At 48.2% G+C, this 25211-nt stretch overlaps 1 protein-coding gene across 2 annotated transcripts; it reads right to left on the bottom strand.

Moving 5' to 3' along the window:
- Nucleotides 1092-21300, bottom strand: CRYBB2 (crystallin beta B2). 2 transcript variants are annotated; one of them, XM_006724141.4, is made up of 6 exons: nucleotides 20121-21300; nucleotides 11478-11557; nucleotides 7925-8043; nucleotides 4976-5108; nucleotides 3383-3525; nucleotides 1092-1357 (listed from the first exon to the last, which is right to left on the bottom strand). In XM_006724141.4, the coding sequence occupies exons 2-6, from the start codon at nucleotides 11529-11531 to the stop codon at nucleotides 1189-1191; spliced, it is 618 nt and encodes a 205-aa protein (XP_006724204.1). In that variant the 5' UTR covers nucleotides 11532-11557; nucleotides 20121-21300; the 3' UTR covers nucleotides 1092-1188. The 2 variants fall into 2 exon arrangements, with proteins under 2 accessions (XP_006724204.1, NP_000487.1); NM_000496.3 differs by lacking the exon at nucleotides 20121-21300 and adding an exon at nucleotides 13295-13322.

Here is a 25211-nt window from a genome sequence, read left to right as displayed (position 1 = left end):
AACCCAGGAGGCAGAGGTTGCAGTGAGCCAAGATTATACCACTGCACTCCAGCCTGGGCAACAGAGCAAGACTCTGTCTTGGGGGGAAAAAAAAAAAAGAAAGAAAGAATTTCTTCAAGGAGATTTGAAAGGCATAAACCCTAAAGGAAAATATTGCTGTTTGACCACATTAAAATTTAAAATGTCATCAAGAGATACCAAAAACAAAGTGACAAGAGGCTGTACCCAGGAAGCGGATATTTGCACTACAAATTAACCAACAAAAGCTGAGTCTAAAGACAGAAGGCCTGCAGCATCTTGTTTCAGCCCCATCGCAACCGCGTTAGGAAGGTACTATTTCTCTCCCATCTTCCTGAGTAGAAACATCAAAGCTCTGAAGGCAAAAGGACTTGCCTGAGCCTCTATCCCTGGCCAGTGCCCCAGAACAGCAGTGTAAACCCAGCCTTCATTCCCAGATCATTGCATCACCTTGAGCCTGGCTACAGCCAAGATCCTCACAGCTCAATAGTCTCTTCCTCATTGAAGTAGCTTAGAGGTTGCGTAGATTCTTCAATTACTAACAGTTGCCCTCAGCCATATGATGAATGAATGATCACACTCACAAACATGGCATTCTGACCTCTCCGGGCTGGAGTGGGGGTTTCAGGGTTCTTGGCTTCTCTTGCAGATCCAAAAAGACCCCCAGACTCAAGGGGACAATGTGATAATGTGAGATTGACGGGCAGTGGATATGTTTTTAAGGGCTGGGGCACCCATCACATGCCCCTGAGAGTGACTGTGCTCAGCAACCAGCATGTAACAGGGAGCTCAGGAGCTCAACCAAGCCAGCCACTCAGAGGCAAGGGAATTGCAAGTCAGGTGAAGAAACAAAGGCTCAGAGAGGTTGGGCACTGTGTCCAAGGTCACACAGCTAAGCAGCTGCAGAACCGTAAGACTCAGTAAGGGTTCTGTTGCCCTACTCCTAGCACAGGTACTTGCTGATTCTCATTTCTCTCTCGCTGTCACTCTCTCTCTCTCTCTCTCTCTCTCACACACACACACACACACACACACACACCAGCTGCCAGGGGAGATCAAAGACCCACAGCAGACAAGTTGCAAGTCACACTTTATTCACTCTCTGGGAGGTCTGGAGGGTTCCTGGGCAGCAGACCTGGGTCCTGGGAAGGAGGCATGGTGGGGAGGGCACTAGTTGGAGGGGTGGAAGGCACCACGTTGGTGCCACTGCATGTCGCGGATACGGCGCACGGACTGCACCTGGGGGTGAGGGGCCCCAAAGTCGCTGCTGTCCTTGTAGTCTCCCTTCTCCAGCAGGTACTGCAGCCCACGGTAGCCGGGGTACTGGTAGCCAACCCACCTGCAGGGCCAGAGGTGATGGGAGGGTGAACGAGGGGGACAGGAAGAGAAGCAGACAGAGAGAGAGGCGAGGGGAGAGAGATAGAGCATCCATAAGCCACTAGGAAGGGTGAAGCCTCCCAACCATTGCCACTTCCCAAGGGTAAGCAGGACACCCTTTCCACCCCACCCTTCCAGCACTGAGCCTCTGCTTTCTTCCTTCTCTTGATGGGGAGCTCACTGCCTCCTGAAGCAAATTTTGACTGAAGGCCTGTACTGTACTGTACTGTACTGTACTGTACTGGGGTCAGAGCAAGGGGGTGATATCTTAAGCTCACTGAAGCTTAGAATAAGCCAGGCCTTTGAACCGTCTCCCTCCAGTCCTATCCCACCTCCAAGCCCAGCTACAAGGTCAAAGAAGAGTTGGGGGAGGTTCCAGGGGCCTTCTGATGAAAGAGTTTCCAGGGGCTACTTAATGAAAGTGCTGGTCTTCTCTCCAGAAAATGTCACACAGGCCTGGCCTGCAAGGACCTGCCTGGCCAGTTTCTGTGGACACCTCCAGCTCTACTTCGCATTCTTATGCTCCCACATCTCTGCATTCCAGCCACCATGGCCTTTGTAGAGTTTCTCAGACCTACCAGGCTCCCCCACACACACCACAGGGCCTTTGCACATGCTGCTCTCGTTGTCTGGGATGCTCTTCCTTGGCCTCTTTACCCCTGCAATTCCTACTGTTCCTTGAGATCTCAGCTCAAGAATCTTTTCTCCAAGGAAGTAGCTTAGATTCATGTGAATTCTTAAAGTATTTACAGTTGCCCCTTCTAGACTGTTGGCTACACAGGGCAGAAGCCAGATCTCTTTAATCTCCTTCACCCTGGGCACCTAACACAATGCCTGGCATATGGCAGCACTGACAGATTGAATGAATGAATGAATGAATGAGGGAATGAAGGGGAATAGGAGCACAGAACTTTGCACACTATTTTAGGAGTTTCACAAACCCCAAGAAGCCAGTATGTTTGGCTAAATTGGTTCTGTTGTGGGGAAAGAGCCTTAATTAGCAGCACTTGCTGATTTCTATGCTGTAAATGCACCCTGTGGCTGGTTTCAAGCTACCAATGATTAGTCAACCAGTTCACACAGATTCTGAAAATTTAAGAGTCCGTTCCAGGCCAGGCACAGTGGCTCACGCCTGTAATCCCTGCACTTTGGGAGGCCGAGGCAGGCAGGTCATGAGGTCAGGAGTTTAAAACTAACCTGGCCAACACAGTGAAACCCTGTCTCTACTAAAAATGCAAAAAATCAGCTGAGCTTGGTGGTGGGCGCCTGTAATCCCAGCTACTTGGGAGGATAAGGCAGGAGAATCGCTTGAACCTGGGAGGCGGAGGTTGCAGTGAGCCAAGATCATTCCACTGCACTCCAGCCAGGGCGAAAGTGCGCGCCTCCGTCTCAATTAAAAAAAAAAAAAAAAGTTCTTACAAGCTGGTATAAGCTGTTTCCAGCACACCGCTGCCCAAAGCTCATCTGTGGACCCCCATGGAATCCAAATTTATTACCATGAGAAATCCCTCACTGCTGATGGCCAGGGTCGATGTGCCCAGGAACTTTGATTCAGTGGAAAATGACACCTCCTGTTCCCAAACTTAGGGACACACGCGGTCAAAGGCAGCATGGGCTGGTCCTCCTGCTTCTCATAGCTTTCAGACTACTCAACTCATTCCTTCCCTCCTGCCTCAACCTAATCCTCCCTCTGCCTCAACTTGCCCCTCTGACATACATGTCTTGCTCACTGGGGCTGAGGTTAAGGCCAAGGTTTCTCCACTCCAAAGGCATACCATTTCCCCAAAGGCAGCTCTAGAAAGAAATTCAGCGGCTGTAAGCCACCTATGGGCAGAGAATTCCCATTTACTTTCCAGTGGGAAGCCAGAGGTCAGCAGAGCACACTGATGTGTGCAAGATCACCAGCGTGTACAGGGCAGAGCAGGACTTAGGACCCCAGAGTCTCAGTTCCTGGGGCAGGGTGAGCCAGGGCTGGCAACGCACTTACGTGCCACTCTGCACCCGCACAGATGACACCTTCTCCTGGTAGCCATGGGCGTGGAAGCTGGGTACATCGTCATCTATGATTTCCATCTTCTTCCCGGTGAAGTTGGGGTTTTCATAGAGGATGATCTTGTGCTCTTGGCTGTCCTATTGGCAGAGGATGGGGGGAAGTGAGTATGGGTGAGGGGGCCCAGGGTTGGCCTTCCCACCCCATGCTCATGCCCCAGAGTTGGGATCAGCATGTCCCACACATCACTCTCTTCCCAGTGCACCCACTACGTGTCTATGACCACTGCTGTTGGATCACAGCCGTTTGTTAAGTTTCTACTGGGCCATTTTCATGTAACAGACACTCTGCAACACTTTGGGGAATGTTTGATTCTGAAATGTCATTTTTTCCTCCTCAAGTTTCTCTTTTATAAATGGTGGCTACGATATACCTACCCACCCACATGTGAACACCCACACATGCACACACACACACATGCACACCCACACATGTGTGCACACGCACACATGCACACACGCACACCACACTTGCACACACGCACGCACACACGTGCACACCCACACTTGCACACACACGCACACCCACACATGCGTGCACACACACATGGACACACGCACACACTTGCGCGCACACACGTGCACACCCACACATGTACACACACACGCACAGGCTAACTGTGCCTCTAATAGGCACCTGAGATATTTTGATTTTTCTTCATTTCTACATCTCTTCCCATCCTCCTGTCCCTATGACATTTTCCTTAGTTATCTCATCTCATCCTTTACACATAAAACCCTTATCCCTCAGACATAAAATCCTCTTATGCCATTTAGCAGATGAGGAAAGCGCGGCACAGAGAGGTCAAATGACGTGCTCAAGGCCACACAGCTGGGAGCAGCACAGCCAACTTGGGAACCCAGGTCTGTGGGGTGCCAAGTCCCGTGTTCCCCAACCTTCCAGTAGGTCCTGGGAGGAGCTAGACTGGGCTTGGAGGGTTTGAGAGTATAACTGAGCAGTGATGGGCCCTGTCCCCTTCCTGAGAGTTGACACTCTCACACACTAGTAAGAATCAGGATCTCAGAAGCACTGAAAACTCACACTGGCACGAGTCTTGAAGAAGAGCTAAACCACCTTCTCCTCCAGCCCCAAACTCATAATTTCTTGTAGTATTTCTGATGGCTATTGGTTATTGAGCAATGACGGGAGTTGCCCAACCCTTGGGCGCGGGGGGCGGGCACCAACCACCTAAAATAGAATGTGAATAGTGCCCTCTGGAGCATTTCATAGTCTTGTGATTGGAGCCTTCTGGAGTTGCAGTGTGACAACCCTCAAGCTAATAAGCACATTGGAACCTCAGGACAGTAGATACCAATATGCCCATTTTACAGATGAAGAAACTGAGGCTCAGGGAAGTAAAATGACTTTTGCAAGGTCACCCAGTGAGGAGGTTCCTCACCAATCAGAAGGGGCACAGTGCTAGAGGGGCGGGCCCCTTCCTGGTCCCCAGACCTCCAGCTCCAAGGTGGCAGAGAGAGAAAGTAGGATGATGGGCAGAGAGAGGGAGTAGGGTGATGGCAGGGGGCTCACCACTTTGATGGGCCTCAGGGAGCTGAGGGAGTCCGTCCTTCGGCTGCTGGTCCATGAGTCCCAGCGGGGGTACTCACCCTTCTCAAACACAAACTGCTCGCCCTTGCAGTTGGCCTGTTCATAGCCCACCCAGCTGCCATGGAGACAGAGAGAAAGGGGGCAGGTCAGTTCCACTCCAAGCTTCCTATGGCAGAATCCTGGCTACTGATGTTGACCCCTAGGGTTCACTCTTGCCCAGCCCGGCAAGATGTAATAGCCCCACCCAAACCTTAGCACAGCAAATCCAAGTGCAAAATCCCCTCAGTTATCTAGAACTCAGTGCTATGCTGCCTTTACCCACCTGGAACACAGTTAAGAAATAAGAAGGCAGTCTAAATAACGGCCCAGCAACAAATACCAATATATAGACGCCATGCACTAAAGCCAATAGTATGCTGGTAAGTTAATAGCCAACTCTCAAAAAACAAAACGAAAATTAACACTCTTGATTTGTAGCGTTTGCCAATTTCCATGGTGTAAATGCTCCCACTGTGGCAGATTTCAAGCTATCAATATGACACGGCTGCAAGTGAAGTTAGGAAGAGAGATGCACAGTCAGCCTTCACCACTGAGAACTGACTCCAGAACATCGCTGTGCCCAAAGCCCCTCTCTTTGGATCTGTTTCTTCTCTTGTTCCTGTTGTTAGACTCTGCCCAAACTCTGTTTTTGTAGATCCACATTAGAAGAAAAATAGTACATTAAAGAGGAAGGGATGGCTTTCAGGTCGGGCATGGCTAATAGAGGAAAGCAGAAAATAGAAGGAAGAAGGCACAAATCTCAAAATGATTAGCATTCTGGGACCAACCAGTGCAGAGGCGAACATTTCAGCAATGTGCAATAATGGCTGTTCAGAGGAATGATCTAAGTCATTAACAAAAGAGGAGGTCGTGTTTATTGTCCTCTTTTGGAAGAGTAGTCTTGATCCAGCAATTCTACTTTAGGCAATTGGTCCTTAAAAAACAGTTGTCAAGGGGCTGGGCGCTGTGGCTCACGCCTGTAATCCCAGCACTTTGGGAGGCCGAGGTGAGCGGATCACCTGAGGTCAGTAGCTCGAGATCATCCTGGCCAACATGGTGAAACTCCGTCTCTACTAAAAACACAAAAAGTTAGGCAGCACAGTGGTGCATGCTTGTAATCCCAGCTACTCAGTAGTCTGAGGGAGGAGAATTGCCTGAACCCGGGAGGCGGAGGTTGCAGTGACTTGAGATCGCACCATTGAACTCCAGCCTGGGTGACAAGAGCTACAACTCTGTCTCAACAAAACAAAACAAACAAACAAACAAAAACAGTTGTCAAGGGGTCACAGATATCTGAATAAGTCTGTTCACTGTGGCATTGTTTATAATATCCAGTAACTGAAAAACTTAAACATCCTACAATCAGGACCTGGATATGGCATATTCAATCATGGACTGTTACAAAGCCATGGTAAGTAATGACATAGGATGTGGGTTCTCAAATGTAATTGGCGTAACTATCACCAGGTAAGCTTGTTAAATGCAGATTCCAGGCTCCAGAGCTCAGTTTGATTTAGTGGGGCTTAAGTGGGGCCCAAGAACCTCCATTTTAAAGCATCTCCCTTCTGTGAATCTGATGCTAATTTTCCTCAAACTACTTTGAAAAACACCAACATAAAATGCTATTTAATGACATGGAGAGAGTCCATGCTACCTTGTAAAGTTTCCAAAGTGAGTAATAAAACATTATGTTTAGTATGATCCAAGTTTGATTTGATTATACACACACACACACACACACACACACACACACACACACAGAGAAATCCAAATTCATACCAAAATCTTAATAATGGTTACTTCTGAGTAGTGAATACAAGTCATACGGTTTTTTGCCTTAAACCATATCTTCTTAGTTTTAAAATAAACGATAATTAATAAAAATACTAAATGTTATATTTTTTAAAAAAGAAAGAAGAAGAGTGTAAAATCTCTTTGGGAAATTTTTTTTCATCAAAATGTTTGAAAAGGCAGCTGAAAGTCAGATGTGGTGCTTAAACGGTCAAATCTCAGCTATCCAGAAAGGGATTCTCTTGGACACAACAGATTCCCTGAGCATGTCAGATGACCAAGGCTTGGCAGGGCCACTGCTTTAGCTGTGTTCTGCACATCTTCAGGTTCTGACCTATGTAGGACCATGGAACTCTGCAAAATTCCCTGAGAACCTTGAGGTGTGGTATAGGTCACCTTAGGATTTCCAGCCATATCTGACTTACTGGCCACCAGCGGACATTCCTACATCCTGAGGCTTTTACAGAGAAGGAGTGACGAGAGAAACTGTGGTTTTGTGTCCCAGACTCTGCAGGCTCACATAGGACTATGCTCAGCTACATCACATAAGGTGAGCCAACCATTCAGCTCCCCTTCTCTCTTGGATAGAGACCTGGCCCCCAAGTGTGCCAAAAAATCTGTAAAGACCCAGCATTGTCAGGATTCGGGAAGGGAGGAGTGGATGCAGGGCTGGAACATCCAGCCTTAAACCTCCCAGGAGTGAGGACACTCCTGGAGCCAGAGATTGGCAGTTCTAAAAGCTTCATCAGTCACTATGTCCATCTTCCTGCCTTGAGGAAGTGGCTGACCTCTGTATCAGGCTTTCCACATGACCCTCTCCCTTCATCCCCAGAGTACATGGTTAGCCTCATCCTACAGAGGAGGAAACTGAGGCTCAGAGGGGGAAGGTCCTGGTCCAACACCACACAACCCAGAAGGGGTGGAACCTGGATTTGAACCCAGCTCTATCTGACTGCAAAGCATGAATTATCTCCATAGGCTGCCAGACCCCAAAACTTGGTTCCCAGATTTGCAGACAGGAGCAAGGGTAGATTCCCCCACTCCACAACTTGATCACCTCACCCAAAGTCCCTGACCAGGAGAGGCCACCCAGGTACTTACGGTCCAGCCTGCACTAGGACAGAACCTGCCTTCTCCACGCCAGTTTCCTTCAGGTTGGGGCAGGGCCCATTGAGCTCATGCGAGTGGCCTTGAAAGTTTTCCTGCTCAAAGATGATGATCTGCAAGAGGAAGCGAGACTCAGACCCTCATCACGATGAAGAGGAGTGAGAACTGGGTGGTAGACGTGGGGAGGGAGCTCAGAGAACCCAAAGGATGCTGAAGGGTTCACCTCCAGAGTGACAAATCAAACATAAAATCAAACAGCCCTGGCTCTGGCTATAAGCAGCCGTGGGACCTTGAGCCTGCATTTCTCCTCTCTGAGCGTCAGTCTCCCCGTCTGTAAAATGGGAAATAAAGACAGAACCTAGGCCAGGTGTGGTGGGCTCACCCCTGTAATCTCAGCATTTTGGGAGGCTGAGGTGGGAGGATTGCTTGAGCCCAGGAGTTCCAGACCAGCCTGGGCAAGATGGGAAGACCCCACTTCTAATTTTTTTAAAAAGAAAAAGAAACAAAGAGAGAAACTGCCTTGTGATATTGTTTGTTAGAAGGATTCAGGGGAGCATAATGGTTAGCACACAGTATTTGCTCTGCTTGTGGGAGAACTAATTATGACATAATTAAGACATAATTATGTTAATTAAGAAATATGGTACAGATTCCAGTAAGTGGCAGAGCTGAAACTGGAGCCCAGGCTTGTCTGATGCAGCTGAAATGGAAGCAGCATGTTGCAAATTCTAACACTCAAACCTAATGTTCTCATCAGCCCAAGGGAGGGGGCTCATGGGATCCCCATCAGGGAAACTGAAGCTCTGCAAAGTGAAGGGACCCACCCAACATCCCACATCCAAGCATTAACCATGATGCTAGCTGCCACCTTTCATGGTTCCAGTGAGGTTTTTTGTTTTTTTTTTTTGAGACGGAGTCTCACTCTGTCGCCCAGGCTGGAGTGCAGTGGCGCGATCTCGGCTCACTGCAAGCTCCGCCTCCTGGGTTCACGCCATTCTCCTGCCTCAGCCTCCTGAGTAGCTGGGACTACAGGCGCCTGCCACCACGCCCAGCTAATTTTTTTTGTATTTTTTTAGTAGAGATGGGGTTTCACCAAGTTAGCCAGGATGGTCTCGATCTCCTGACCTCGTGATCTGCCTGCCTCGGCCTCCCAAAGTGTTGAGATTACAGGCGTGAGCCACCGCGCCCGGCCTCCAGTGAGAATTTTGGAGGCAGAGGTTTTCCAGCCACACTTCCCCAGCAAACTGCCCCTGGATGAAAAGATGGGCTCAGGTCAGCACACTCTCAGTCGGGGCAGCTACAGAATCGACACGGTCAGCACAGGCTGGGTAAACATAGCCCTCTCTCCCAGGCCTGGGATTAGCCACACAAAGAAAGGGAAAGGCACAGGGCTTAGAGGCAAATTCCACGGGCTCAATCCAGCCTTTACAGTCAGTGACCCAGCCCTTTACGGTCACTGACTCGGCCAGAGATAGGGTCAGGAGACAAGGGCTCCAATGTGTCCTCTGTTACATCCAGTTGCACAAACCTAAAAAGCAATTCAATACTCTGGGCCTCAGGTCCCTCATCTGTCAAATGGGGACTCAAGAATGTGGAAGTTCGGGGCTAGAGTTTATTATTACCCTGGCCTGGGAGACCAGGGCTTGTGGGTGGTTAGCACATAGTATTTGCGCTGCTTGTGGGAGACATAATTATGTTAATTAAAAGACATGCTACAGATCCCACGTGAATAAGTGGAAGAGCTGAAATTGAAGCCCAGACTTGTCTGATGCAGATGAAATTGAAGCAGCACTTTGCAGACTCTAACCTGTGCACACAACACTGGGATCTTGATCAAATGCAGTTTCTGAGGTAGCAGGCCTGGGGTGCCCACCTGAATAGGGGTAGGCAGGTGAGGAAGAGCAGTTTCTCCATGCATTTGAAAGCCCAGAAGCTCAGAGGACCCAGGAGCTCAATAGCGTTGTTATTAATCAATAGAGTAGAGGGCAAAATTTTACAAATTATCCAATCCTTTAAGCCTGCACTGTCCCACACAGCAGCCATTAGTAACATATGGCTACTGAGCACATGTAATTAGTCCATATTATTACTTATACTGTGCTATAAGCGTAACATACACATCATATTTTGAAAATTCAGAATGGAAAAAATAATGTAAAATATCTGCCTAATAATTCTTATATTGATTATACATTAACATGCTCATCTTTTGGATATATTGGGTTTCATAAAATGTAATATGAAAATTAATTTCACCTATTTCTTTTTACTTTTTATGATGTGGCTACTAGAACATTTTGCATTACCTATGTGGCTCACATTATAGGTCTAGTGGACAGAGCTTCTTGCTTTTTTCCAAACTCACCCAGTTCATTCCCACCTCGGAGTCTTTGCGCCTGCTGTTCCTTTTGTCTGGATGCTCTCATCAACCCTGACCCCCATTTTTCATTTTTCTGTGGAGATGGGATCTCACTATGTTGCCCAGGCTGGGCTCAAACTTTTGGGTTCAAACAGTCCTCCCACCTCGGCCTGGCAAAGGCACCCCCAATTTTCATATAGCCGCTTCCTCACTTGACCCAGGTGTCTGCTCAAAGTCAGCTCCTCAGAGAGACCCTCCTGGACCACCTGAGCTAACACAACCACTGTGACTCTCAGGAGCCCCTTCCCCTAGTTTACAATTGTTTGTAGCACTTCTCACTACTGGAAATCATATATTCATTTATTTATTGTCTGTCCTTCTTCTGGAAAGTAAGCCCTAAAAGGGACAGATTGGGGTGAGCAGGTGAGGGGCTGTATCTGCTCAGGCTTCCCTGGCCCAGGAGGCACTGAGTCAGACAAAGGGGCCATTCCTGAAGGAACCTGTGCCCGGGGCTACCAAAGCAGGGAGGCACAGGAGGGCAGTCAGGTGGCCGTGCCTAGATAGAGGTTTGAGGGCAGACTGGGTGTGACAAGCCTCTGACGTTGGGATAAGATCCTGCCGCCCTTGGGTGGACAGGTGGATGAGAAATCAAAGGCGGCATTATTTGCTGGTGTTAGGTGGATGCGCACCCCAGGCCGGGTGTTAGGCTGAGCCTGGTTTCTTTGGCTCTCACAACTTCCCTGTGCAATAAATCTGACTCCTCCTTTTATAGAGATGGAACTGAGGCTCAGAGGGATCAAATAATTGGCCCGGATCACACAGCAGGTGCAGAGCCAGGACTCACACCCACCTTCCATCTACTAATCCCATCTCTGACTGAGAATGAGGGTCTGCTCCAGTTTCAGGGAGCCCTGTAGACAATAGGGTGTGGCAAAACAGGTAAGGGAGAGAGAAACTGAAGTCTCCAAAGCCAGAGGCTGGTACTGGGAATCCCAGCATGCCAGCTATGGGCTGGGGAGGGACTTTCAGTATCAGCTCCAACTGTGTGGGTAGAGGAGACTGAGTCCCAGAGAGGGGCAGGGGTCGAGAGGGGGTACCCATGAAGAAAGATGCCAAGCCCATTTTACAGAAGGGCAACTAAGTCTGGGGGAGGAGCATTGCATGCCCCCTCCTCTGAGAGGTACCCACCTTGGGGTTGAGGGACTGTGGCTTGCCCGCCTGGGTCTGGTGATCTGAGGCCATGGTGGACTGTCCTGTGCAGGAATGACCTGGAAGACATGGGAAGCAGCAGTGAGGACCTGGAGGGGCCACTGGCTTTTTCACTCTGTGGGGCCTTGAGACCACTCCCCTCTGGCCCCAAACATTCTCTTTTTCTCCTGGTTTCAGACTGTCCCAGAGCTGTGGGGTCCGTAAGCAGCTACTTCAACTTCTGTCCTTAGCTTCATTTATTTCTATCCAGGCCAGCTGCAGGAGGAGGGAAAAACGAGGTCTACTCAAAGAAAGAGAGCAGTAATAAACTAGAGCTTAAATGAGGTCCAAAGTGGGTTCCCAACACTCAACCCCAGACAATGGATACCACACAGAATATAGAATGGTCAATCCCAGAACTTCTGCCTTTATGCAGTAATTTCTTAAATAAAATTGTGTGGAACAAACAAAACCTATGCATTGGCTGTATTTGGTGGTGTGGTGGTGCCCAGTTTAGGAACTCACAAAGTTCCCTGTTCCCCTGCTCCTTCTCCCACCCTCTCCCTGGGACTCCTCTCCCCATCCTGGTACCTAGATTTCTCTTCTCTGCCACTGGTTTTACTCCCCCATTAGTGAAATCATCTGATACAGAACCCACATTACAAGAAAGAGAAGAAATGGGTGCGACGGTAGAAATCCAGGCACTGTGGCAGGCAGCAGGGTAGACCTGCCTTAGCTAGTGAGAACATCAGAAAAGCCTGGAAAATTGTCAGCCTCTTCCCCCTTCCTGCAGAAGGGGTGGTCAAACCAGGCTGTGTTTCCCCAGGGGTAAGAGAGGAAGCCTGGCCTCCCTCTTCAGAGATAACGCCAGCTTCCAGAAGCCCCTTCCACATGAAAGGCCAATACTGGATGTTTCCCAGGAGGAAGAAATGCAGTTAAGCACCTTGGCAGCCAAATCTACTGCTCTCCCGCAAGAAACCAGCCCTCTGGGCTTGTCAGAGTGCCTGAGGTCCTGCCATATCACTTCCCAGTCCTGAGTGTTCACAGACTGAAGAAGCTCAGTTGGTCCAGTTCAGGAGCAGTCTCTGCTGCCTGCCAGAATTGAGACTCTGGGCAGGTCTCATCCTCTCCCTATGCCTCAACTTCCTGTTCTATAAAATGGGGACAGTAATGATGTCTAATAATACCTGTGAACAGGTTGTGAGGATTCAATTATGTAATGTATAAAACCGGAAGCACTTGGCCGTGGTCCCAGAACACACTCAGCATGCAGCAAATGGCAGCAATTGTGGCATTATTAGAGTCATTTCTACCATGCTTTAGTGGCATTGAAATCACCTGTTGCTGGGACCTGTCACATACCTGTGGCTGCATCCTATCCCCTAGCACTCCCAGAGGCTAGGCACAGAGTGGGTGCCCCCTAATTGCAGATGTGGAGGAAAACTGACTCACCCACCTAGAAACAATGCTGAACTGTCACTGGTTTGATTCTTGCAAAACCCTCAGTTACATTCTCCTCCTCAGCGACTGGCGAAACAAGGATGCTGATAGTCTGTTTAATATTAATAATAAAGAACATTGCCCCAATGCCCACTGTGTGCCAGGCACTGTGCTGGATGATCCCCTAACTTCTCTTGAATCCTTACAATAAAGAAGGCTTTTTAACCCCCTTCCCAGTTACCAGAAAAGAAAACTGAGGCTAACAGCATTGAAGTCTCTGCCCAAAGTCACTTGTCAGAATCTGGGTGCTCCCATGCTTGCGGACAGGGGTGAGGATGAGAGAAAGAAGGGAAGACAAGCAAGAGAGGCAATCTTACCAGTGACACCAGCCCCTGCGAGTGCCGTGAAGCTCGGCCAGCGGGAGGTGGCATTTATACCTTCCCCAGAAGTGCCGGTGCCAAGATGAGTGACCGCTGTGCTCCTGCGAAAAGCAGGGTGAGAATGCTGGATTAAGCTCTCACCAAAGCTCGGGTCAGCAAATGCCCACAGACATTGTGTCTCTGCACAATAATGTCATTAGCTTTCAGATTCGGCCGCGCCAGGGCGGTCAGGCGGCTGGGCAAGGAGATGCCCGCTTTGCATGCATCAGCCGTCCGGCTGCCAGGGCCAGGGGTACGCTGGGTTCACTGGTACGGTCAGTCAGGCCGTGAGGCATGGCAGACAGAGGAACATCTCAGTGGGCCTGGGGAAGAACAAGTAAAGAAGGGTGGTTTGGCAGAGTCTGGGCTTCATTCATCTACCCATTTATTCATTCAACAAATATTTGTTGGGCATCCACTTGGTGACAATCTCTGTTCCAGGGGAGTGTCAGGAAGAGGACCTACGCCAGCCCAGGCCATTCAGAAAAGCTCCTGGGAGGTAGCGCATCCCTCAGGGATGGAGAAGAGGAAGCCTGGGAACAGGGTGGGGGGACAGTTCCAAGCAGAAAGGGTCCATATACAAGGAACCAGCATGGTGTATTTCAAGAAGACCTGAAAACAGGTTAACAAAGCTAAAGCATGACATGTGACAAATAGGGCCTGTGCCAGGTGGCCAAGGTGGGCAGGGCCTGATGTTGCAGGGCCAGGGAGGCCAATTATGGAGAGTGCATTTTATTCTCAAGGCCCCTGGCTGTTTCTCTTTCTTTTCTTTCTTTCTTTCTTTCTCTTTCTTTCTTTCTTTCTTTCTTTCTTTCTTTCTTTCTTTCTTTCTTTCTTTCTTTCTTCTCTCTCTCTCTCTCTCTCTCTCTCTCTCTCTCTCTCTCTCTCCCCTCTCTCTCTCTCTCTCTCTCTCTCTCCCCCTCTCTCTCTCTCTTTCTTTCTTTCTCTTTCTTTCTTTTGAGATGGAATCTCACTCTGTCACCCAGGCTGGAGTGCAGTGGTGTGATCTCGGCTCACTGCAACCTCTGCCTCCCAGGTTCAAGCGATTCTCCTGCCTCAGCCTCACCAGTAGCTGGGACTACAGGTGTGCGCCACCAGGTCCAGCTAAATTCTTTTTTTTGCTGTATCTTGTTAGAGACAGGGTTTTGACATGTTGCCCAGGGTGGTCTCAAACTCCTGAGCTCAGGCAATCCATCCACCTTGGCCTCCTAAAGTGCTGGGATTCCAGGCATGAGCCACTGCACCCGGCCTGTTTCTTAACCACTGTCCTAGAGTGAGTTGCTCTTAGATCCCTACCACTGGCCCCATCGCTGCCACATGGGTGCCCAGCCTTTACTCACATTTCTTTTCTATTTTTTTTTTTTTTGAGATGGAGTCTCGCTCTGTCGCCCAGGCTGGAGTGCAGTGGCACGATCTCAGCTCACTGCAAGCTCTGCCTCCCGTGTTCACACCATTCTCCTCCTTCAGCCTCCCTAGTAGCTGGGACTACAGGCGCCCGCCAACACGCCCGGCTAATTTTTTGTATTTTTAGTAGAGACGGTGTTTCACTGTGTTAGCCAGGATGGTCTCGATCTCCTGACCTCATTATCCGCCCGTCTCGGCCTCCCAAAGTGCTGGGATTACAGGCGTGAGCCACCGCGCCCGGCCTTTACTCATGTTTCTTTAGTGCACACACCTTCCTTGCAGCCCAGGCTGTGTCTTGATCCAATCTGAGGCTTGGAGACTGGGTCAAGTATACCTGCTTTCCCCTGTCTCTCATTTTCTTAATGCACATATGCATGCACACGCATGCACACACACTACACACACATGCCCCAGCCCCCTAGCTGGGCTTTTCCTTTTGCAGCACTCATCACTACCCAACATTCTGTTACTCATTTATTTTCTGTCTTTCCAATGAGAAGATAAGCACCACAAAAGCAAAGAAGTTGTCCCCCTGGTTTACCATGGTATCTCCAGAGCCCAGTGCCTGACGCATAGTAGGTACTTGTTTTAAAATCCCAGGGCTGGCCGGGCACAGCGGCTCACGCCTGTAATCCCAGCACTTTGGGAAGCCAAGCCAGGCGGATCACCTGAGGTTGGGAGCTCGAGACCTGCCTGAGCAACATGGAGAAACCCCGTCTCTACTAAAAATACAAAATTAGCCGGGCATGGTGGCACATGCCTGTAATCCCAGCTACTCGGGAGGCTGAGGCAGGAGAATCACTTGAACCCACGAGGCAGAGGATGCAGTGAGCCAAGATCATGGCATTGCACTCCAACCTAGGCAACAAGAGCAAAACTCTGTCTCAAAGAAAATAAATAAATAAATAACATAAAATAAATCCCAGGGCTGCTGTAATAAAGTGTCACAAACTAAGTGGCTTAAAAACAACAGAAATTGGGAATGTAAAATGGTGTTGCCACTACGGAAAACAGTGTGGCTGTCTCAAAAAAAAAAAAAAAATCCAACATAGAATTACCATATGAGCCAGCCATTCCACTTCTGTGCACGTGCCCCAAAGAATTGAAAGCAGGGAATTGAAGAGATATTTACACACCCATGTTCATAGCAGCATTATTCACAATAGCCGAAAGATGGAAACCACCCAAATGTCCATCAACGGATGAATGGATAAACACTATGTGGTCTATCCATACAATGGAATATTATTCAGCCTTAAAAAGAAAGGAAATTCTGACTCCAACATGATGAGGTTTGAAAATGTTATGCAAAGTGAAATAAACCAGACACAAAAGGACAAATATTGTATGATTCCACTTACATAAGTTACCTAGGGTAGGCAAATTCATGGAGACTGGAAGTAGAATAGAGGTTACTGGGGGCTGGGAGGAGCGGGGAATGGGGAGTTATTGTTTAATGGGTACAGAGTTTCTGTTTGGGATGATGGAAAAGCTGGGGATGGATAGTGGTGATGGTCCCATAACAATGCCACTGAACTGTACTCTTAAAAATGGTTAAAATGGTTAATTTTATGCTATGCAGTATTTTACCACAAAAATGTCCCCCAAAAAACCCCAGAAGTTTATTGTTGTGTAATTCTGGAGGCTGGAAGCCTGACATCAAGCTGTCAGCAGGGCCATGCCTGCTCCAGGGGTTCTAGGTGAGGGTCCTTCCTTGTCTCTCCCAGCCCTTTGTGTTTGCCGGTAATTGTTCATGTTCCTTGGATGGGAGGTGCATCACTTTAATCACGTGACTGTCTTCTCCCTGTATCTTCACATCATCTTCCCTTAGTGCATGGCTGATTCTATGTCTAAATTTCTGTGCCTATAAGGATACCAGTCATGTTGGCTTAGGTGACTTCACTAGGCAACTTCACCCTGATGACTTTGTTTCAAATTGGTTCCTTCTGTAAAGACCCTATTTCCAAATAGAAGGTCACATTCTGAGGTACTGGGGGTTAGGACTTTGGAATATCTTTTATGGACACAGGTCAGCCCATAATAGACCTCAGTTAATATTTGTTGAGTAAATGAATGGATTCAAGACCTGGCTGTGTCCTTATAAATAAGAAAGAATTCCTAACATTTCGATTGTATCAGAGCTTGACATGAGTCAGGCACTGTCCATACTCATCTTTTTTTAATCCTCCCAACAAACTCAAGATGTAAGTATTGTATTTATTGATCATTCCATTTTATAAAAGAGAAAATTGAGGCTCAGAGAGACTAAGCCACTTGCCCAAATTTGCACAGCTAGTGAGTAGTAGGACTAGGCTTTATGGATTAAGCCCTGAAACTGTCTGGTTCCATTAATTCAATCCTCACAACTATCTTTGAAGTAGGTATTATTAATGTCCCCTAATACAGATAAGGAAGCTAAGGCTCATAGAGCTTAAGTAACTTGTTCGAGGTCACACAGCCAGGAAGTGGTAGGACCAGTGCTTGAACTTACATCAGTCTGACTTCAAGATAAACGTTCTTAACTTTTAAACTATAAAGCTTCCTACTGAGCTCTGGGAATTTAGTGAAGTTTTTCTTCTCCAGGCCTCAATTTCCCCATAAGAAATGAGGTCCTTGGTGCCAAGACCAGCTCGGTCAGGGAGACCCTAACCAGTGGCGCTAGAGGAATTAAAGACACACACACAGAAATATGGAGATGTGGAATGGGAAATCAGGGGTCTCATAGCCTTCAGAGCTGAGAGCCTCGAACAGAGATTTACCCATGTATTTATTAACAGCAAGCCAGTGATAAGCATTGTTTCTATAGATTATAGATTAACTAAAAGTATTCCTTATGGGAAACAAAGGGATGGGCTGAAATAAAGGGATGGGTCTGGCTAGTTATCTGCAGCAGGAGCATATCCTTAAGGCACAGATTGCTCATGTTATTGTTTGTGGTTTAAGAACGCCTTTAAGTGATTTTCCACCATGGGCGGGCCAGGTGTTCCTTGCCCTCATTCTGGTAAACCCACAAACTTCCAGCGTGGGTATCATGGCCATCACAAACATGTCACAGTGCTGCAGAGATTTTGCTTATGGCCAGTTTTGGGGCCAGTTTATGGCCAGATTTTGGGGGCCTGTTCCCAACACTTGGTCCCTGCACCATGTATTAGGTTGGTGCAAAAGTAATCATGGGTTTTGGCGTTACTTTTGATGGGAAAAACCACATTTACTTTTGCACCAACCTATTATTCTCATTGAGGAAGCAGTCAGGGTTTTCACTGGCTGATAGGAGTGGTAAAACATGCTAGGGAGATGTTTATTATTCCTATTTTTACAGATAAGCAAAGTGAGGCTCAGAGAGGAGACTTTCTTGCCCAAAGGCTCACAGCCACGAAGTGGTAGAGCTGGGATTTGAACTCAGAGATCAGGATTTGTAGACTCCAAAACCTTCAGCCTAGCCTACTTCTCTTCTCTTACCTCAGTTTCCCACACTTGCGAAGAATTAAATATTTTGGCCCATGGACATTATAGTATTTGTAATTATACCCTTTGTAAATGAGCCAATCATGTGAAGCCCTCAGTAGCGGCTCTTACAAATATTATAGAAAGCGCTCAGTAACTATAGCTTTTATGCTATTCATTATTATTACATCTGTGTGGATGGCAATGTTTTAAAAGACTTTTTATTTCTTTTCACTCCCACACTCAAAGTAGGTGCCAAGACAGAGACCGTCAGCAACCTGCCTGTTTCTTTCTACTAATTCATTATTCATTTCTACTTCAAGCAAATGTGTCAACTATGAACTCAGTGGGGAGCAATACAGATAGGGTCCCCACCTTGGTGCAACTTACAGCCCATAGGTTCCTATGATCTCAAAATGTTTTGCCTTTTTAAAAATTTGAGATAGGGTCTTGCTCTGCTGCCCAGGCTGGAGCATGGTGGTGCTATCACAGCTCAATGCAGGCTCCAACTGCTGGGCTCAAGTGATCCTCCTGTCTCAGCCTCCTGAGTAGCTCAGACTACAGGTTTTCACATCTGTGCACAGCTAATTAAAAAAATTTTTTAGGGATAGGGTCTTACTGTGTTGTCCAGGTAGGTCGCGAACTCCAAGCCTCAAGCAATTTTTCTGCCTTGGCCTTCCAAAGTACTTGAGTTTCAGTCATGGGCCACTGCACCTGGCCCAAAAGCAAAGGCTTTTGATGTGACCTGGGTAGTTTGCTCATCTAGCCAATGAGCTAGGTCGTGGAGAGCTGAGCCATGGCTCAGTCATCTTCGTGCCCCCAGTGCCTACATAGGATCTAGCACATAGTAGGTGCTCAGAAAATACGTATTGACAGACTGAATTAATTAATGATAAAGAGCAGGGGTGTCTTCATTTGGGCTCTACCAGAAGCAGACGCTAAGACAACAAGTTCAGGTGCATATAATTTATTTGGAAAGTGATCCCAGAGGGCATCAGGAAGTAGGGAGTGGGGAAGCGAGCCAGAGAAAGGAAGGCAGGCAATTCAGGGTATATTAGTGAGCGGGTTATCACTGGGTCTTCTTAAAATTAGGGGGTGTCATGTGACTCATTCTGGTCAGTGGATTCTGAACAAACATGACTGGTGTAATTTCCAGGTGAAATCATCTTATTACAGGAGCCACACTTTCTAGTGCTCTCTTCTCTTCTGCTGTCCTGAGATGGCAACATTGCAAAATGGCAGAGCCCACACCAGCCTGGGTCCCTGAGTGACTCTGTAGAGAAAAGCCCCCCGCTGACCAGCACTAGACATCTTTCATGAGTGAGAAATAAGTTTCGTTGTTTTCAACCACCAAGAATTGGGGGCTGTTTGTTACTGCAGCATAGCCTGACAGATACATAGAGAGAAAGGACTCAAACCTTCCTCTCCACTTCATCTTCTTGCTCCCACGAGGAGAATAGGTCTTGGTGTTCCCCTTGGACAAACAATATTTAACTTTTAGATACAAAAGAGTCAGAGCTGGAAGGAGGCTCTGAGATCATCAAAAGGTGTTCTCATAGCTATCAGAAACAACACTCCCTTCTTACGACAATTTTTTGTAACAGCCCTTTTACTCTCTTGAAATAAAATTGATAATGTAACCCATCTACGTGCATGCTTTCAAAATAAATTAATAATAAAATGTCCTAACTCTAACTGTATTATAAAAGGATAATAAGGATAGAATGTATAAAAATATGTATTTTGGTATGTAAAAGCTTCAAACAGATGATGTAAGAAAGCAGTTAGGCAATTATTCCTATTTACAATGCATACACTTAGACAGGAAGCTAATATTAAACTTAATATGCGTTAGACATTTTCATTCACTCATGTAGCATTGCCATGGGTGACATTAACTTCCAAAATGGTAAAGAATGCTTGGTAAAGTTCTCACCTGAGCACTGGGAGCTGGGGAATTGATACCCCAGCTCCTGTTAGTCATTGGATGAAGGTTGCTCCTAGTAGGTATTCATTCCGCCAAGATTATAGCTGCCTCCCACCTCTCCAGGCACAGGAGAGAGTTTCCAGGCACATAGGCATGTGGATGCTGGCTGGTGGAAGTGGCCCTCACACAGCAACATTGTAACGTCTACAGAGTAGGAAAAGCACAGCCAGCATCTTTTACAATCCAGACAGCAGATCAAAGATGTCCGACGGAAAGGCAAGGGAAAGAGGAAGCTAGCAACAGGAAATGGCCAGAAGGTCCTCCCAAGAGAGCCAAGACTTGGGGATGCATTTGCTGAGGCCCCCTAATGGTGGATTCCTGGGGGCAGTGACCACAGAGCCAGCTCTCCAGCTCCCAGGAGCTCTCAGGCTCCAGTTTCTCTCTCCATGATGCCTGTTCACTGTCTGGGTCCTGGCCCCCTGCCCCTGCCATGAACCTCTTTGTAGGGCTTTCACTTGGACTCTCTGAGTGTGGCCATGTAGCCTAGTTTTCTAATTTCCCTGTTTCTACAGATGTCTTTAGAATAAACCCCCATTATTGAGGAACTGCAAAGTCTCTCTGCTCCATACAACTACGGAGCATGTCTTCAGCATCCTGTGTCTGGAACGGAGCTCTGGAAGCCTGTCTGTTGCCCTCCTTCTTGTCAAAAAATGATCAAGAGAAGAGGATGATGAACACTCATATTGCACGTCCTTGGTTTTACTCATTGTTCTAAGCCCTTTCTGCAAAGTAAACTCCGGTTACTACCGGCAACAACCTTATGAGATAGGTAGCATTATTATCTCCATGTTACAGATGAGGCAACAGAAGCACAGAGAGGTTAAGTGACTTGCCCAAAGGCAAACAGTGAGTGGTAGAGCTAGGAGAGGAAACCAGGTGGTGTAAATCAAGAGCCTAACTCAGCCACTCTGCCTCCTATCACTTGACTCTACTGCCTGCAATCACTGAGCAATACTGCCTCTCAATTAAGCTGGTAAAATGATCTCTTGGCGCTAAACCTCATTCGCTTATAACTGAGGGATATTCTTGCTTCACTGTCACTCTCAGGTTCTGCCCCATAGAAGACAAAATTTGAGGGCTGGGCGCAGTGGCTCATGCCTGTAATCCTAGCAATTTGGGAGGCTGAGGTGGGTGGATCATGAGATCAGGAGTTCCAGACCAACTTGGCCAACATAGTGAAACCCCATCTCTACTAAAAAATTAGCAGGGTGTGGTGGAGCACACCTGTAGTCCCATCTACTCAGGAGGCTGAGGCAGGAGAATCGCTTGAACCATGGAGGCAGAGGTTGCAGTGAGCCGAGATTGCACCACTGTGCTCCAGCCTGGGTGACAGAGCAAGACTCCATCTCAAAAAAAAAAAAATATTTGAGTCTAGGTTGGGGCTAAGAGCAGCCTTTTGGAGTTAGGCCTGCGGTCAAATCCCAGTTCTGCCCCTCGCTGGCTGTGTGACCTCAGCAGTTGGCTTCCCCGCTCTGAGCCTCTTGGAGCTGAGGACTGAACAAGACAATGTATGGGAGTACTTGCAAATAACAAGAGCTTCCTGGCACAAATGGTTATTATGGGTGTGAGGCTTCAGAAAGAGTCACTTGGACATCAGTGACTGCCTGGGGCTGCCATGAATCTGGCAGTGCAGCTGAACCCCACCTCTGGAATCAACCCAACTCCAGATCCTGGGGCTGCGTTTGGCCTGGGAGTGGGCATGGTGAGTGGGCACACTGACTCACACTTGAGCCAGCCTCCCTGTAATCCTTCCTGTTACCCAGGAGCCAGTCAAGGGGCCTGTTGGTGTTAACTGAGATCAGGCATGGACAGCTTGTGGCCTGGTGCCTAGACTATAGTACATGCTCAATAAATGAAGTCACTGCCCACACCAGCAGTGGCATTAGGTTGGCCGAGCACAGCATCAACAGCTGATGAATATAGAGAAACGGGCTTTGGAGACAGACCTGAATATGAGTCCTGGTCCCATCACTTAAGAGCTGTGGCACTTGGGGCAATTTGCTTCAGCTCTCTGGGCCTCAGTTTCTCTCCCTGCATATGAGGATCACTATTGCCTGTCTGTAGAGTCGAGATGAAACTCTAGAGCACTCAATAATGTGCTTGGGGTTTAGCCGCAGCTCTACAGTGGCAGCTATTATTACCGTTGTTTCTGCTGCAACTGCTTATGTTATTTTCATCTATATCTCCCTGGTGACTTACGGTCCTTGATGGATACATCAGAGTGTATGGCACTCAGGAATGGATTCAGGTCTCAGTTCTACCACTTCTTATCTGTGTGGCTCTAGGAAGGTGATGTTGCCTCCCTGAGCCTGTTTCTTCATCTGTTAAATAGAATTAATAACCACACCTACCTCCCAATGACATTCTTAGGGTTCAGTGAGATGATGTAAGCACTGATTTATAAAGCATGACAGGCCGGGCGCGGTGGCTCACGCCTGTAATCCCAGCACTTTGGGAGGCTGAGATGGGTGGATCACGAGGTCAGCAGTTGAGACCAGCCTGGCCAACATGGTAAAACCCTGTCTCTACTAAAAATACAAAGATTATCCTGGTGTGGTGGCACATGCCTGTAATTCCAGCTACTCAGGAGACTGAGGCAGGAGAATTGCTTTAACCTGGGAGGCGGAGGTTGCCATGAGCCGAGATCGAGCCATTGCACTCCAGCCTGGGTGACAGAGTGAGACTCTGCTTCAAAAAAAAAAAAAGCACAACAGACTGGATGGCATCTCGTTCATGCCTATAATCCCAACACTTTGGGAGACTGAGGCGGGAAGATCACTTGAGGCCAGGAGTTTGAGACAAGCCTGGGCAATACAGCAAGACCCTCATCTCTACAAAAAGTACATTTTAAAAATTAGCTGGGCATGGTGGTGTGCGCCTGCAATCCCAGTGCTTTGGGAGGCTGAGGCAAGAGGATTGCTTGAGACCAGGAGTTCGAGGCTGCAGTGAGCTATGATCACGCCACTGCACTCCAGCCTGGACGACAAAGCAAGACCCCATCTCAAAAGATAAAAAGAATAAAGCATGACAAGGCCTCTCCTTGTGAAAGGGAGGAAGGGGTGGGTCCAGCGGGGAGAAAGGGGTGAGCAATAGGGGTGCTGTATCTCCGCACTGGGGATGTCAAGCCCCTGCCTTCCATCTGTCTCATGGCTGGGCCACCCCTGCCCCCTCTGATCCTGATGCCCAGCCCAGGTCTCCCATACACTCGGAAAAGTCAAGGTGATTTCTCACCTCATTTGTAAAATATGCAGGTTAAATTAATTGAAAATTACTGTATCCTTTTCAACCCCTTCCTGAGGCCCCCATAGGCCTCCCACACACCAGCTACATCACCCAATGGGAGGCTGCAGGTGGCTGAGACAGGCTCTGGGCACAAAAGGGGAACAAAGTCAGGGAAATGATGCAGAGTTGGCTCATGGAGGTGGGACGGGTGAGGGGTGGTGCCGGGGCCTGCCTGCAGGAAGTCCGTTGTCAGCTGGCTATCAGAGAGGAGGCCCCTCCTCTTCCCACCTGGGGGCAGAAGAGACTCAATTATGGCCGAGCATGGTGGCTCATGCCTGTAATCCCAGCAACTTTGTGGGGCCGAAGTGGGTGGGCCACCTGAGGTCAGGAGTTCGAGACCAGCCTGACCAATATGGTGAAACCCCATCTCTTCTAAAAACACAAAAATTAGCCGGGCGTGGTGCTGCGCACCTGTAGTCCTAGCTACTTGGGACGCCGAAGCAGGAGAATTGCTTGAGCCCAGGAGGTGGAGGTTGCAGTGAGCCGAGATTGCGCCACTGCCTGGGCAACAGAGCGAGACTCTGTCTCTAAATAAACAAACAAACAAAGGCCTCATTTATGCCTGGCACTGCCCCAGTGTCTCTGTTCAGCTCTTCAGCAACTCCCACTGCCCAGATGAAGCCACGGGGGCCCAGAGCAGTGGTCAGTGGGGGGAGGTGGGATGGGCACTCAGTACCCCAGGCGAGGCTGCAGAAGGCCTCTGGGCAAGGGGACAGAGATACTGAGGCATGAGAGAGAGAGGCTCAGGTGGACCGCACAAACACAGCTCACGAGACTCTCTGCAGTAGCCTCCCAACTGGTCTCTCTGCATCCCTCCTTGGCCACTAAGTGTATGATTTGCACCCTAGCCAGAGTGATCCTATTAAACCCCACTGCAGACCACGGCTCACTTTGCTCAAATGCTCCATGGCTCCCACCTCCCTCAGAGAACAAGCAAAGTCCACTAGGTTCTGCAAAGCCCTAAATGACCTGACCCTGTTCCCTCTGAACCCTATCCCCAGTCTTTTACTCCATTCCAGACCTGCTGGGCCCCTGGCTGTTTCCCATTAGGCCAGCATACTCCTGCCTAGGGCCTTTGCACCTGTTATTTCTCTGCCTGGAATGTTCTGGTGGTTCACTGAGGACTCGGCTCCTTTGCACAGAGTTTCCTGGCCACCACCCCCATCACTTCCATATTTTTATCCAGCTTTATTGTTCTTGGTATTTACCGCCTCCCAACATTATAGCCCTCATCGACCTGTTTATTTACTTTCTGTCTCTCCCACAGAAGGTGAGAACCTGGAGGGCAGGACATTGTGCCCTGTCCTTAGGCCTTGAACAGGGCATGGCATTTGCTGAATACACTGAACAGGGCATGGCATTTGCTGAATACATTAATGACAACAGAGACTGACCCACAGAGAGGTGGAAGGGGAAATAATGGATAGATGAATGGAAGGAAGGAGGGAAGAAAGGAAGGAAGGAAGGAAGATCAGATGGACACATTGATGGACAAGTAGATTGAAAGAAAAATTGATGGATAAGTGGATAAAAGGATAGATAGAAAGATGCGTGAGTGGAAGGAAAAATGGATGAATTAATGGAAAGAACAAATATAGGAAGATGGAAGGAAGAATGAATGGATGGATGGGTAAGTGGGTGGATGAATGGATGGATGGATGGATGCATGGATGGATGAATGGGTGGTAGGTAGTTGGATGGATGAATGAATGGGTAGATGGGTGGGTGGGTGGATGGATGGATGGGTGAGTAGATGAA

Source organism: Homo sapiens, chromosome 22 (genome assembly GCF_000001405.40).
Source record: "Homo sapiens chromosome 22, GRCh38.p14 Primary Assembly".
Classification (NCBI taxonomy): domain Eukaryota; kingdom Metazoa; phylum Chordata; class Mammalia; order Primates; family Hominidae; genus Homo; species Homo sapiens.
Note: the sequence above shows the minus strand (reverse complement) of the source record. Positions and strands in the feature narration are given on the sequence as shown.

Excerpts from the sequence above, each read along its gene's own strand:
- CRYBB2 (XM_006724141.4), bottom strand. The coding sequence starts at position 11,531 with ATGGCCTCAGATCACCAGACCCAGGCGGGCAAGCCACAGTCCCTCAAC. Across the intron at positions 8,044-11,477 it reads CACAGTCCCTCAACCCCAAG|ATCATCATCTTTGAGCAGGA; the intron begins GTGGGTACCTCT and ends TTCCTCTTGCAG. Across the intron at positions 1,358-3,382 it reads GTGCGGGTGCAGAGTGGCAC|GTGGGTTGGCTACCAGTACC; the intron begins GTAAGTGCGTTG and ends CTGGCCCTGCAG.